This window comes from Homo sapiens, chromosome 13, assembly GCF_000001405.40.
Source record: "Homo sapiens chromosome 13, GRCh38.p14 Primary Assembly".
NCBI classification, from domain to species: Eukaryota; Metazoa; Chordata; class Mammalia; order Primates; family Hominidae; genus Homo; species Homo sapiens.
The window spans coordinates 110863352-110876414 of NC_000013.11; the positions used below are offsets into that span (position 1 = coordinate 110863352).

General features: G+C 50.5%; 1 long non-coding RNA gene across 1 annotated transcript, besides 5 other annotated features; it reads right to left on the minus strand.

Annotated features, from left to right (window-relative positions):
• Positions 1 to 635: 635 nt before the first annotated feature.
• PRECSIT (p53 regulated carcinoma associated Stat3 activating long intergenic non-protein coding transcript) lies at positions 636 to 6957 on the minus strand. The gene has a single exon (NR_027701.1). It is a non-coding gene; the product is annotated as a p53 regulated carcinoma associated Stat3 activating long intergenic non-protein coding transcript (long non-coding RNA).
• Positions 6014 to 6700: an enhancer, noted in NCBI's record as "H3K27ac-H3K4me1 hESC enhancer chr13:111521712-111522398 (GRCh37/hg19 assembly coordinates)". NCBI's record gives its function as "activates a minimal SCP1, AML or CMV promoter by ChIP-STARR-seq in primed H9 embryonic stem cells {active_cell/tissue: H9 hESC(primed)}" and the evidence as "EXISTENCE:reporter gene assay evidence [ECO:0000049][PMID:30033119]".
• Positions 6014 to 7257: a biological region, named in NCBI's record as "BRD4-independent group 4 enhancer GRCh37_chr13:111521756-111522955".
• Positions 6058 to 7257: an enhancer, noted in NCBI's record as "BRD4-independent group 4 enhancer chr13:111521756-111522955 (GRCh37/hg19 assembly coordinates)". NCBI's record gives its function as "activates an origin of replication core promoter dependent on BRD2, P300/CBP, MED14 and CDK7 cofactors, and independent of BRD4, by STARR-seq in HCT116 cells {active_cell/tissue: HCT116}" and the evidence as "EXISTENCE:reporter gene assay evidence [ECO:0000049][PMID:35650434]".
• Positions 9503 to 10380: an enhancer, noted in NCBI's record as "H3K4me1 hESC enhancer chr13:111525201-111526078 (GRCh37/hg19 assembly coordinates)". NCBI's record gives its function as "activates a minimal SCP1, AML or CMV promoter by ChIP-STARR-seq in primed H9 embryonic stem cells {active_cell/tissue: H9 hESC(primed)}" and the evidence as "EXISTENCE:reporter gene assay evidence [ECO:0000049][PMID:30033119]".
• Positions 11318 to 11537: a silencer, noted in NCBI's record as "silent region_5520". NCBI's record gives its function as "represses an Ori minimal core promoter by ATAC-STARR-seq in GM12878 lymphoblastoid cells {active_cell/tissue: GM12878}" and the evidence as "EXISTENCE:reporter gene assay evidence [ECO:0000049][PMID:35858748]".

Genomic DNA, 13063 nt, shown 5'->3' on the forward strand with positions numbered 1-13063 from the left:
TGACCCTGGCACAGGCCCCCAGTTCCTGGGTCAAGGTCGCAGCTTGGGTTTCTCTGGTATTTGCTCTGAGTCAGGGTCAAGGTCTGTGCCTCCGGAAGGAATGTTCTGGAAGGCACATCTCCATGTGCTCCATCGTGTAGGTGAATGTTTGTGTCTGCACATTTACATTCATTATGATGCCTATTTTTATGTATTGGAAACCCTGAGCTCATGCCTGTGCCTCCAGATCCAGTCTAACCCCACAGGCCCACTCTCATTTCCTGCTGTGACCTGAGGTCACCCTTCACACATGCAGGCCTGGTGAGCGGCCTCTCCTCTCCAGGTGGCCATAGCAGCGGGAGTATCACATACCTGGCTTTTTTTCTTTAATGTGGAGTACTCCATATAATGATAGGAAGCTAAAATACTTTTGACAAAGTTCATCTTTGATAGAAAGCATCAGGATCCAATAACACTCTGAGCAATGCTTGTCAAAACCTCCCTCCTACTTTCGTCACCGGGCAGTGCTGTGGCCAGAGCCCCATTGTTCAGTGGGGCCCTACGAGGTCCGTGCCTGCTCTTCCTTCTGCTGCGACCCCTGTGGGGTGAGTGGTCCTCAGCTCCCAGACTGTTTCTCCCAAGCATAAAGTCAGGTAGAAATTTAGCAATTTTCAGAGTTACATTACTGTGTAATTCAGGTGCTCTGTTTACACATTAAAACAGAAACAAATAATATTTATTTGCAAACCAAATCACTTGGTGTAGGGAGCCTGCATTGAGTTAACTGGGTTAGCCCTGACCTGCCCTGCTGCTGAGCTGTTCCCGGCACGCACTGCTGTTGTTACTGGGCTGCCATTGCTGCATCCCATCCCACACACTCACACCCCACTGTCTTTTATGGCTGGGAAGGGTTGTGAGTGTCGAATATACTTTCTATATAAGCTTACACTTTTAAAGAAAATTTCAGAAGGAATATAGGAATCCATGCTCATGGTAAAACTGCCAACAACATAGAAGCTGATTGTCTTAGTCTGTTCTCTCACTGCTGTAAAGATACTACCCGAGACTGGGTAATTTATAAAGAAAAGAGGTTTAATTGACTCATGGCTCTGCATGGCTGGGGAGGCCTCAAGGAACTTACCATTATGGCAGAAGGGGAAGAGGCACGTCTTACAGGGCGGCAGGCAAGACAGAGCGAGCAAGAGCAGGGAAAACTGCCTTATAAAACCATCAGATCTTGTGAGAACTCATTACTATGAGAACAACTGGGGGAAACCACCCCTAAGATCCAGTCACCTCCCAACATGTCCCTCCCTCGATATATGGGGATTATGGGGATTACAATTCAAGATGAGATTTGGGTGGAGAAACAGCCAAACCATTATCATTCTGCCCCTGGCCCCTCCCCAATCTCATGTCCTCCCATTTCAAAACACAATAATGCCCTTCCAACTGTCCCCCAAAGTCTTAACTCAAAAGTCCAAGTCCAAAGTCTCATCTGAGACAAGGCAAGTCCCTTCCACCTATGAGCCTGTAAAATCAAAACCAAGTTAGTTACTTCCAAGATACAATGGGCGTACAGGCATTAGGTAAATGATTCCATTTCAAATGGGAGAAATTGGCCAAAACAAAGGGGCTATAGGCCCCATGTAAGTCCAAAATCCAGTGAGGCAATCATTAAATCTTAAAGCTCCCAAATGATCTCCTTTGACTCCATGTCTCACATCCAGGTCACGCTTATGAAAGAGGTGGGTTCCCATGGTCTTGGGCAGCTCTGCTCCTGTGGCTTTGTAAGGTACAGCCCCCCTCCTGGCTGCTTTCGTGGGCTGGCATTGAGTGTCTGCAGCTTTTCCAGGCCACAGTGCAAGCTGTCAGTGGGACTACATTCTGGGATCTGGAGGATGGTGGCCCTCTTCTTACAGCTCCACTAGGCAGTGACCCAGTGGGTACTCTGTTATGGGGGCTACAGCCCCATATTTCCCTTCCTCACTGCCCTAACGTTCTCCATGAGGGTTCCACCCTTGCAGCAAACTTTTGCCTAGACAGCCAGCTGTTTCCATACTTCCTCTGACATCTAGGCAGAAGTTCCCAAACCTCAATTCTTGAATTCTGTGCAGGCTTCCGGCTTGCACCCGCTGAAGCAGCAGCCTGAGCTGTATGTGGCCCCTTTTAGCCACGACTGGAGTTTGAGTGGCAGCAGCTAGGACAGAAGGCATCCAGTCCAGAGGCTGCACAGAGCAGTGGGGCCCTAGACTTGGCCCATGAAGCCATTTTTCCCTCCTAGACCTGTGCTAAGAGGGGCTGCTGCGAAGCCTCTGACATGCCCTGGAGACATTTTCCCCATTGTCTTGGTGACTAACCTTTGGCTCCTCGTTACTTATGCAAACTTCTGCAGCCAGCTTGAATTTCTCCCCAGAAAATGGGTTTTTCTTTTCTATCATATTGTCAGGCTGCAAATTTTCCAAATGTTAATGCTCTGCTTCTTCGTAAACATGTGTTCCAATTTCAGGTTATCTCTCTCACGTTCAAAGTTCCACAGATCTCAGGGCAGGGGCAAAATGCCACCAGTCTCTGCTAAAGCGTAGCAAGAGTGACCTTTACTCCAGTTCCCAAGAAGTTCCTCATCTCCATCTGAGACCACCGCAGCCTGGACTTTATTGTCCACATCACTATCAGCATTTTGGTCAAAACCATTCAACAAGTCTCTAGGATGTTCCAATCTTCCCCACATCTTCCTGTCTTTTTTCTGAGCCCTCCAAACTGTTCCAATCTCTGTCTGTTACCCAGTTCCATAGTTGCTTCCACATTTTGGGTATCTTTATAGCAATACTCTACTCTCCGCAGTACCAATTTACTGTGTTAGTTCATTCTCATACTGCTATAAAGAACTACCTCAGACTGAGCAATTTATAAAGGAAAGAGGTTAAATTGATTCACAGTTCTGTATGACTGGGGAGGCCTCAGGAAACTTACAATCATGGTGGAAAGGGAAAAGCCATGTCTTATATGGCGGCAGGCAAAAGAGAGCGTGTAAGAGCAGGGAAACTGCCTTATAAAACCATCAGATCTCGTGAGAACTCACTCATTATCATGAGGACAGCATGGGGGAACCACCCCCATGATCTGATCACCTCCCACGGGATCCCTCCCTCGACACGTGGGGATTATGAGGATTACAATTCAAGATGAGATTTGGGTGGGGACACAGGGGCCACAGCCAAACCCTATCACTGATGGACAAACACCTTGTGAGGGCATCAGCTCATTTAATCCTCACCACCACCTTATGAATGAGGAGTGGGCATTGTCACAGACCCCGCTTTAGAGAGGTGGAAATGAAGGCACAGAGAGGTTTAGGTATTTTGCCCAAATTGCACAGCACTAAGTAGGAGCAGGATTTGAACCCAGGCAGTCTAGCACCAGGCAAAAGCCCTTCTTCACCCTCTCCCCACGCACAGCTAACCCCTCCTGTTGTGGGGTGACAGACGCATTACAGATGGATGTACTCATGTCCCCGTGTAAATGCACAGCTTGGGGCTTGTTCTTTTTCTCCTTTGAAAATACAGATAGAGCAATTTTATCCCACTGATGCTTGGAGACGCCTCTCCGTTTCTCACCCGCCCACAGTATCCCACAGCCCCACAGCTCCACCACTAGACCGTTTCCCACAGATGGCACTTAAGTTGCTTCCCATGTTTTGTCACAACAATGTTCAACCCTCGTCATCCTTTGTATATTTTGTGTGCTCTCGTGAATATTTTGTGAAAATGTCCCCTGGAAGTGGATGCTGGATGAAGGTTTGAATGTCGTCACTGGGGGTAGATGTTAACCTACTGTTCTCGAGGTGGCACCACTTTCCAGCCCACCCTGACCTGAGACTGTCCACTTCCCACACCTCCCCATGCCACAGGCTGCCAACTCCTAAGCTCACATCTTAATATATTCAGTTTTCAATAAATTCACATGTGCAACCAGAAACCAAGAGGAGATTCCCCATATTCCCACTTTTCAGAGGCATCTTACGGTCATTCCTCCTCTTTACCACCAGCCTGGTTTGCTTTTGTCTCTACTTCTTGATCTGTCGACCTCAGATATTACCTCTCAGCCTTGATGATCAAAGGTGAGGATCTGGCTCACTCGTGCTGGTGCTGCCGGAGGGAGGCAGCCATGGCATTGGGTTTTGCTTTTCCAGGAGGCACTTGTGGCAGCGAGTGCCCATGTGTTTCCCCAGCATCCCTCTCTGCTTCATGGCAGAAGATCCCAGTGTCTGTCCCTCCCTAGTTCCTGGAGCCCTGGAAGCCACAGGCCGGGAGGACTGGAGGTGCATGGTGGGGTGTGGCAGAGATGCAGGGCCGTGGATCTGATGACACTGCAGCTTTCAGACTTGTTTTACCAGAGAGAAACAACTTCCATTTCATTCCCTGTGGTTTGAGGATTTTCTGTGATGTGCACCCTAATTTAACCCCAAATAAAGTAATGTCATTACAACTGTGTCTGTTGTTTTGTCTTCCGCACTCACTCCATGAGGGCACGGTACCCTGACTCTCCTCCGTGCCTCCTCTCGGCCACCACCAGGTGCTCTTGCCACTGCCACACTCCCCTCACCTGGTACCGGGTGACAGGCCACCCTTTTCTACAGAGACAACTGAGTTCTGTGCTTTGTCCATAGTTTAGTCCCAAAAAAACCCTAAGCTACACGTGCATTACTACAACTGCATGAACACTGGTCTCCTACCAAAGTCTGCAGAGGTGGAGCCCACAGCCTCCCCAGACAGGTGGGAAGCTTTGCCTCCTTCCCTGCATGCCCCACCCAGCTCATGAGGAGCTAGTTGGAGATTCTGGGTACCGCTGTGCACACCCAATGCACCGTTTACACACTCAAGTATTTGGACCGCAAATGGTACTTGTGTCTTTACTCAAACTGTTGCTATTATGGATGTTGCGGGGCAGTGGTGGAGGTGTTTGGCCAAAGAGTGACCATCATCTCAGTCTGACAGAGACTGTCCTAGTGTTAGCATTAAAAGTCCCATGTCCATAAAAACCCCTCAGTAGGCTGGGCACGGTGGCTCATGCCTGTAATCCCAGCACTTTGGGAGCTGAGGCAAGTGGATCACTTGAGGTCAGGAGTTCGAGACCAGCCTGGCCAACATGGTGAAACCCCATCTCTACTAAATATTGAAAAATTAGCCAGCATGGTGGTGGGTTCCTGTAATCCCTGCCACTCAGGGAGGCTGAGACAGGAGAATTGCTTGAACCTGGAAAGTGGAGGTTGTAGTGAGCTAAAATCACGCCATTGCACTCTAGCCTGGGTAACAGAGAGAGACGCTCTGTCTCAAAACAAAGAAACAAAAACAAACAAACCTTCAGTCCCAAGCAAATTGGGACAGTTGGTGACCCTGGTGGAGCACATGCTGTAAGATTATTTCCTAAACTATGAGTGGATAAGAATTGTTCTGAGTCTGTCCCTGTTCAGAGTCCTCATTCTTTTTCCTTTTCCTGTCAAAGCTAGTTTGATTCCTAGCAGGATTCTAGGTTAAACAACGGTTTCTTCTCAGACCTCTGGAATAGGTCCCATTGGCAGGCCACCCACATTGTCCTGAAAGTGTTCCTGACTGTCCACACGCATTAGTCCACAGGACGGAGCCACACAGCCAGGACGGAGCCGCACATCTGTTCTCCTCCACCTTTGGTCAATTCTATGCCCACCTGGTTCTTGGAAATGAACCAGGATATGTAACAAAATCCATTTTTTTCTCCTTAGGATGAAATGATGTTGAAGGAAAGAATGTTATTTGAGGACCTGCTGTCTGTCCTTTTGTTTAAAGTTGCCATTTCCAAGAACCTAATGACGACCTTAAGTGAGGAATTAGTGTGCTCATAAAAAAGTTTTAGACGTTTTACGCTTACAGGAAAATGGTGAGGATAATGCAGAGAGTTCTCATGCAACAGAAATTTCTACTATTATTCATGTCTTACATGAGATGGGCACACCCTGTCCCCGTGTCCGAGGACTGGACAAGCCCACTCTAGCGGTGCACAGCTGGGGCGTGCCCCTCGGCAGTGGGGTGACCTGGCCCTCTCGCCCAGTGATGTCCTCATGCTTTGTGTCACGTGAACCACAAAATCTGAGTGAAAACGAAAGTCCATGAATGTCCAGGGCAGCTACCAGACGTGCGCAAGTAAGTCTCATGAAACAAAAGCTTCCCTGGATGGGGACAAAACACACTTCCTTCCGCTTGTCACCATCCCTGGCTCCTTCAACTCGGTCCGTCTCCATGACGTGTTCCTCTGCTTCTCTTCCTCCGAATAAAAAGGAAACATGCCTCGTAAGGACAGCAGTGCCGGGCTGGAGCCGCCTCTCCCCATCAGCACTAATGGCGTGGTACCTCTCTGCCCGCCCTTCTCTCTCCTCACCTGTGTTTTCCTTTCTTCCCGAACCTCCTCTTGGCTGAGGCCTCATGGGAAAAATAGGGGCACTCGCCCCATGGGCCCCAGGGAAATGCCAGTACCCCGGGCCGGAGAGTAGCCGAGCCCCAGACTGAGTCGTTGCTCCATGGGCCACAAAAGCTGGTTCCCGCACAGCAGCCGCCCTGGGCCCCGGCAGACACGACAGAATGGGTTTCCTTACACAAACCGCGCTTGGCAGATGTTGCCTGAAAGACAGGAACTCCGAAATTCCAACAGAACGGCCAGCGGGTGGCTCTCTGCTCTGGCAGGCTGCAGGCTCTCAGGGACGCCATGTCTCCGGAAGGTCAGCGTCAAATGCTGGTGAGAACTCACTCACTCCTCACCTCCGTGACAGGCACGTGTGTTGGCTCCACCAGGGTGCAGAAGCCACACGAGCTGCTTTAACAGAAGACATTCATGTAAAGCACAGCTCTCGGGCCGTGGGGCTGTTAACCAGGAGGGTGCACAGTGCATGCACCGCCCAGGTTCCGGTCAGTTTTGCTCCCACAGTCATCACCCTGGAGGGCGTTTCATGTTGTTGCTGTGAGAATTTGCCGTTGCTTGAGTGAGTCATGCTGACGTGGCCCCTACTCCAGGGTTTCCAGTCTTTCTGCTCCTAGACTGACTCAGCGCTGGTCATTAGGTGCTGTCCATCAAGGGGAACTTGCCCTGGGCATGGAAAATGCTGACCAGCTCCCTGTTTTGGAAAATGACCTCATCCCCAGGCTGCCCACAGGAGGCGGAGCATGCCAATGCCGTTCCTTACTGGTGTGTATATTACTGTTTTTGTCCTTTTCATGCAGCCTGCGGAGTGTACCTCTATAGCTGTCATTTCACTCCTGTGTTTTCTCGGCCTTGGGCGAGGATCCCATGCTGCTGGTAATGAAAGCTGCCTGTTCCCTCGGTTGTTTTCACAGTCCCTCCTTTCTCTTCCAGAGAGAGGTTTTGTTTTGTTTTGTTTTGTTTGAGACAGGATCTCACTCTGTCACCTAGGCTGGAGTGCAGTGGCATGATCTTGGCTCCCTGCAACCCTGCCTCCCAGGCTCCCATCCTCCCTGCAACCCATCGTCCCACCTGTGAAGGGAAAATAAATCTTGGGCCCCCAAACTCAAGCCAAAGGGAAAAGTCAAGCTGGGAACTGGGTCATGCAAACCTGCCTCCCCTTTTGGTCCCTAAATAAGATGCTGCAAGATGAAAAACTGCACACCTCCCCTATATTTTGTCCACAAGGAAATTCCTAGTGAGCTCCGCAATCTTTACTGTAAGGTGTTTCTGTTAAGATTTCACCACAGCAATGCAAATCGATAGCTCATCTTTACAGGTGCAGTCAACCCCTGCCCGCCAGACACAAATGCAAACCTGATTGTTCCCCTGCCCCCTTTGTCTAAGTCATCTTGTGTAAAAATAATGCAGATTCAATGAGCCAAACGCATGACTATTTTTCTCTACCCGCCTCTTAGATGAAAATTGTGTACTTGTCATTATCTCACCCTTTCCCCTTTAAATTTGGAGCCCTCAAAATCATCTTCGGAGAAAGGTACAGACTGTCTCCCGAGTGTTCGTCCTTAACTTTGGCGAGTAAACCTCCTAAAATGATTGAGACTTGTCTTGTCATTTTTCTCAATTGATACACCTCAGTCTCCCAAGTAGCTGGGACTACAGGCATGCGCCACCAAGCCCAGCTAATTTTTGTATTTTTTGTAGAGACAGGGTCTCACGTTGTTGCCCAGGCTGGTCTTGAACCCCTGAGCTCAAACAACCTGCCCGCCCCGGCCTCCCAAAGTGCTGGGATTACAGGCGTGAGCCACTACGCCTAGCCAAGAGAATTTTAAAACCATTGAGGAAATAGTGCCATTGTTGTGAATCAGAGACTTGATGTGCTATTTCATGTAGTGGTTCCTGTCGTTTTGCTTGCAAAATTGGCTTCAATTATCTTGAATTATATGAACTGTCAGAAAAGCCCTGCGGCAGATGATGGTAACGAAAAGACATCCTTTAGCAGACAGGGAATAGGACTGATTCACTGATGCATCTGAGTTGCAATTTTTTTAGCTGCTTCTAAAAATCTTGTAATTAAATTCACTGGTGAGAGCACAGTAGCCTTCATAAATGGGAAAACAGAAACATCGAAGTTGTTCTCAAACCATCCTGGAATCTTAAAGTTCAGGGGGCACCTGGCAGAGGGGAGCCACAGAAAGACGGCAGGGAAGGGAGGGTTAAGGCGAGGCCGGGATAAGCCAAGCAGGGCTGTTCTGGTTTATCTTTCTTACTTTGTTCTTAAGAAAACTTGCTGAATGTAGTTGGCTTCAGATCTTCCTGTTTTAAAAAAAACGCAGTAAGATGAAAAACCTGATGTGTCCTCTGCCCTTCCCCGTCCCTCCCGCCTCTCCCTGCGGGGGGTGAGCACTCCTCAGAGTGCCTGGTGGAGAGGCCCCTGCCCTCCCCTGCACGGAGCTGGGGTGGCCTTAGGCCAACAACCATCAAAGAACTCAGGCCCTTAGTTCAGCGACCCGGGGGGAACTGGGTCCAGTCACCAGCCATGTGCGTGAGCTTGGATGCAGAGGCTCCAGGGGAGCTTTCAGATGAGACTGCAGCCCTGGCTGACACTGCACTGTGATCTCCTGAGAACGTGAGCCCAAGGAAGGGGCCCCTCCCCGGGTGGGACGTCCTGCCTCACAGCTCAACGCTCTGCTGCTGCTGTCAGTGCTGTGTTTTGAGGGGGATGCCCAGTTCTGCACTGACCAGCTCTAACCCTGGGGACACTGCAGCCCTGGTCATGGCCTGGGGACCCCTTCAAGGTGACCTTCCAGCACAGGTACTGGGCGAGTACCCACCCCTCAGCCTCTGCCAGACTTTGCCCAAGAGGCACATCCCTCTTTGCTGCACTGTGGACCTGCCTGCCCAGGTACTGGGGCACTTGGTCATCTGGTGGCTGTGACCATTACTGGGATGAGGCCTGAACTCCAGGTGGAGACCCCTTTCCCAAGCCTGCACTTCCCGCAGCCCCTCCCTGAGCCCTGGGACCTCCCAGAGTCCTCTTGACCTGTGTGGCTCTGCTTGCACAGGTTAGAAACTTCTAGTTCAGCTTCCCTGGCTGAGCCCTGCCGGTTTTTCTGCTGAATGCCCAGAGAATTGGGGGACCCATGGCCCCCCGCCCCGCCTGGCCACGGGGCTCGACAACACAGCAGCTGTAGGGCTTTTCACCTGGCCCTCACCTGTGGGGCCTCCGCCTCGTCCTCAGCTCTCCCTGCGGATTGACCACAAAGTGGTCACTCAGAGTCCCCTCGGGGATGGTTTCAGAGCTTCACCGGCCTCCCTTCCCCACCCTGCAAACCTTCAAAGCCCGAGCCCACGCCTCGCACGTGCTATTCCCAACAGAGAAAAATGTGACCCCATCCACGTCCTGCCCCAGACACCCAGGAGCTCCAGTCCTCTCCCCTTTCCGCGGACTGGAAGCTTCTCCAGGGCTTGAGATGTCCACCTTCCCAGCGATTCCTGCCCGGGAGACTCCGATTCCGACCCCATTCTGTCCACATGTCCCCTTTCCAGCCCCATCTCCCCCTGCCCATTTCCTGAGACCTCTCTAAGGACCCTAGGCTCCTGAGCGGACCCCAGCAGGGCCCCTGAGCTCCATGATTCTGCACTGCCTGGGCCTTCCCGCCAGAGCCGACCCTGGCCCCCAACAGGAGGCCGAGCTGCCCTCAGGGGCCTCTTCACGGTGGGCAGGCGCCCCCGACCCCGGCCTCTCCTCCCCAGTGGCCTCTCCGCCCCTCCCCTCCCCCATGGCCTCTCCTACGCTCCCTCCGCCCTCTCCCATGGCCTCTGATCCTCCTCCCTCCCCCCTCGCCAAGCGCCTGCTCTTCCATCCATTCTCCACATCGCACATCACACACAAGACATTCACACACATGCATATATTCACACCCACACAAGTCACACATATATTCACACACACACGTCACACGACATTCACACACATGCATACATTCACACACATCCACACCCACACAAGTCACACACACATAACATTCACACACGCACATTCATCCACACATGTACAAGTGACACATTCACACACCTGCATTCACACACATCCAGATACACAAGTCACATTCACACACATGCCCACACCTCGACACAACACCCACATGCAACATTCACACACATCCACACGTGCACAATAGCCACACACGTTCACACATGCACACATATAACATGTTTCACATACACTACCACCCATGCACATCAGCCACACATATAAAACAGTCACACCTGCACACACACAGTCACAAACGTCACACACATATAGCATTCACACATGCACAGCAGCCACATTTACACACATCCACATGCATCACACATTCATACACATCTGCACACACGTCACACAAATCAACATTCATACGTGCGCACACATCATACACATCCACACACATCACGTACATTCACACATAAACATTCACACATTCACACACACCAGATTACCACTCACATCCAATACTCAACGCTTCCCTTCACATTCTCACACATTTGCACACTCACACATTGCCAACGACACACTTCCCTCCACATTCCCCCTACATTCCCACACTGACACGCTCTCACACACTCCCAGTCCTCGCACACATTTGCACACTCACATCCATACATGGACACACATCCTCATGCTCGCTCACTCACATGCATTTGCAAACACTGATACACATCCTCACACGCACACTCGCACACTCAGGGTCTCCCTGGCTGCAGCTGTGCCCGGGCTCACTGTTACCGTTGCTCAGTGCAGACTCTTGGGGTGGTGTCCACCTCCAGCCCCCAGCTCCAGCCGTGCCCTGCCGCAGCCCCCGCTACCCTCCCACCGCCCCGGGACCCCTCACCCGCCCCGGCCCATCCCAACCACGGCCTCGCCCCAACCTTGGCTGCGGTTCCCCAAGCAGAGCCGCGCCAGAACCGCCCGGCTCACCCCCCTCTCCCCGCCCCTGCGCCTCTCTCCCGGTTCCCGCCCTCCTGATGGTTCGTCCCTGCACCCGCGCCGGCGCCCCGCCCCCGGTTCCCGCCCTCCCGAGGGCTCCTCCCTTCCACCCGCTGCCTGTTTCTTGGCTCCCCCTTTCCGGGAAACTCTTCAATGTTTCCCATGTTCTGTCTCCAAATTATTCTCCCGTTTTCTTCTCCTTAATAAAACCCCGAAAATCCAACCTATGGAAAAGTCAAAAAGGGTAATTCAATGAATACCCAGTCTACATTTTCCAGTATTTATCACTAGTTGCTTAGATCTCATCATTCAAAACATTCCAGCAGTTCTCTCACTGTGGCCTGCAGAACCCCAGGGTCCCCAGGACCCCATTTCAGGGGGTCCCCAAAATCAAAACGGTCTCATTACCGAGATGTGATTTGCCTTTTTCAGTGTTGACTTCGGCACTGAGGGTTCAAAAGAAATGGTGGGTAAAGCTACTAGCACCTTAGCAAAAACTGCCCCGGCCTGATCACCTTCATATTCTTCACTGCCGTGCAGTCAAAAAAAAGAAAAAAACCCAATTTCACTTAAGAATGCCCTCAATGCTGTAAACATGAGTAAATTTTGACAGCACACGTTCTCTGTGATGTAAAGGGAAGTGTGCATGAAGGATTTGTTGTGTACAGCTGTCTCCAGGAAAAGCACGGCTCTGGCTGATTGTGCGATAAGTGTATCCAGTGACTTTTTCAGAAACGTCATTTTCATTTGAAATAATGATTGACAAGCTATGTGATTAAAAAAAAAATAACCAGGTTGTAATGCAGTGGCTCAAGCCTGTAATCCCCGCACTTTAGGAGGCCAAAGTGGGCGGATTGCTTGAGGTCAGGAGTTTGAGACAACCTGGGTAAAATAGTGAGACCCCATCCCCCCAAAAAAAAAAAAAATTGCCGGGCATGGTGGTGCACGACTGGAGTCCCAGCTACCTCCAAGGCTGAGTCAGGAGGATCCCTTGAGCCCAGGAAGTCAAGGCTGTAAGGAGCCAAAATCGCATCACTGCACTCCAGCTTGTGCGACAGAGTGAGACCCCGTCTCAATTTAAAAAAACCAAAAAATTAACCAAGTGAGTCTTCTACTTCAAGGAAAACTGACAGTATTTGTGTCCAATGATAAAATTTGAGTTTTTCAGCAAAAATCAGGATGTTGTAAAACTTGTATCCAGTACCATGAGCTTGACAACTTCCAACTTTTGACTTTCATGAGATTATTGGTGATCAATGTTTTATTTTTTTGAGACAGAGTCTTGCTCTGTTGCCCAGGTTGGAATGCAGTGGCGTGATCTCGGCTCACTGCAACCTCTGCCTCCCAGGTTCAAGCGATTCTCCTGCCTCAGCCTCCCAAGTAGCTGGGATTACAGGTGCGTGCCACCACACCCAGCTATTTTTTTTTTTTTGTATTTTTAGTAGAGATGGGGTTTCACCTTGTTAGCCAGCATGGTCTCTATCTCCTGACCTCATGATCCACCTGCCTCGGCCTCCCAAAGTGCTGGGATTACGGGCGTGAGCCACCGCACCTGGCTGGTTATCAATGTTTTAATATTAATGAAAAGTTTCAACATTTGAAAGACTTGCAGAACTCAATTAAAAAATATTTCCCAAGTAATGCATAAAAAATTATGCATGGGTT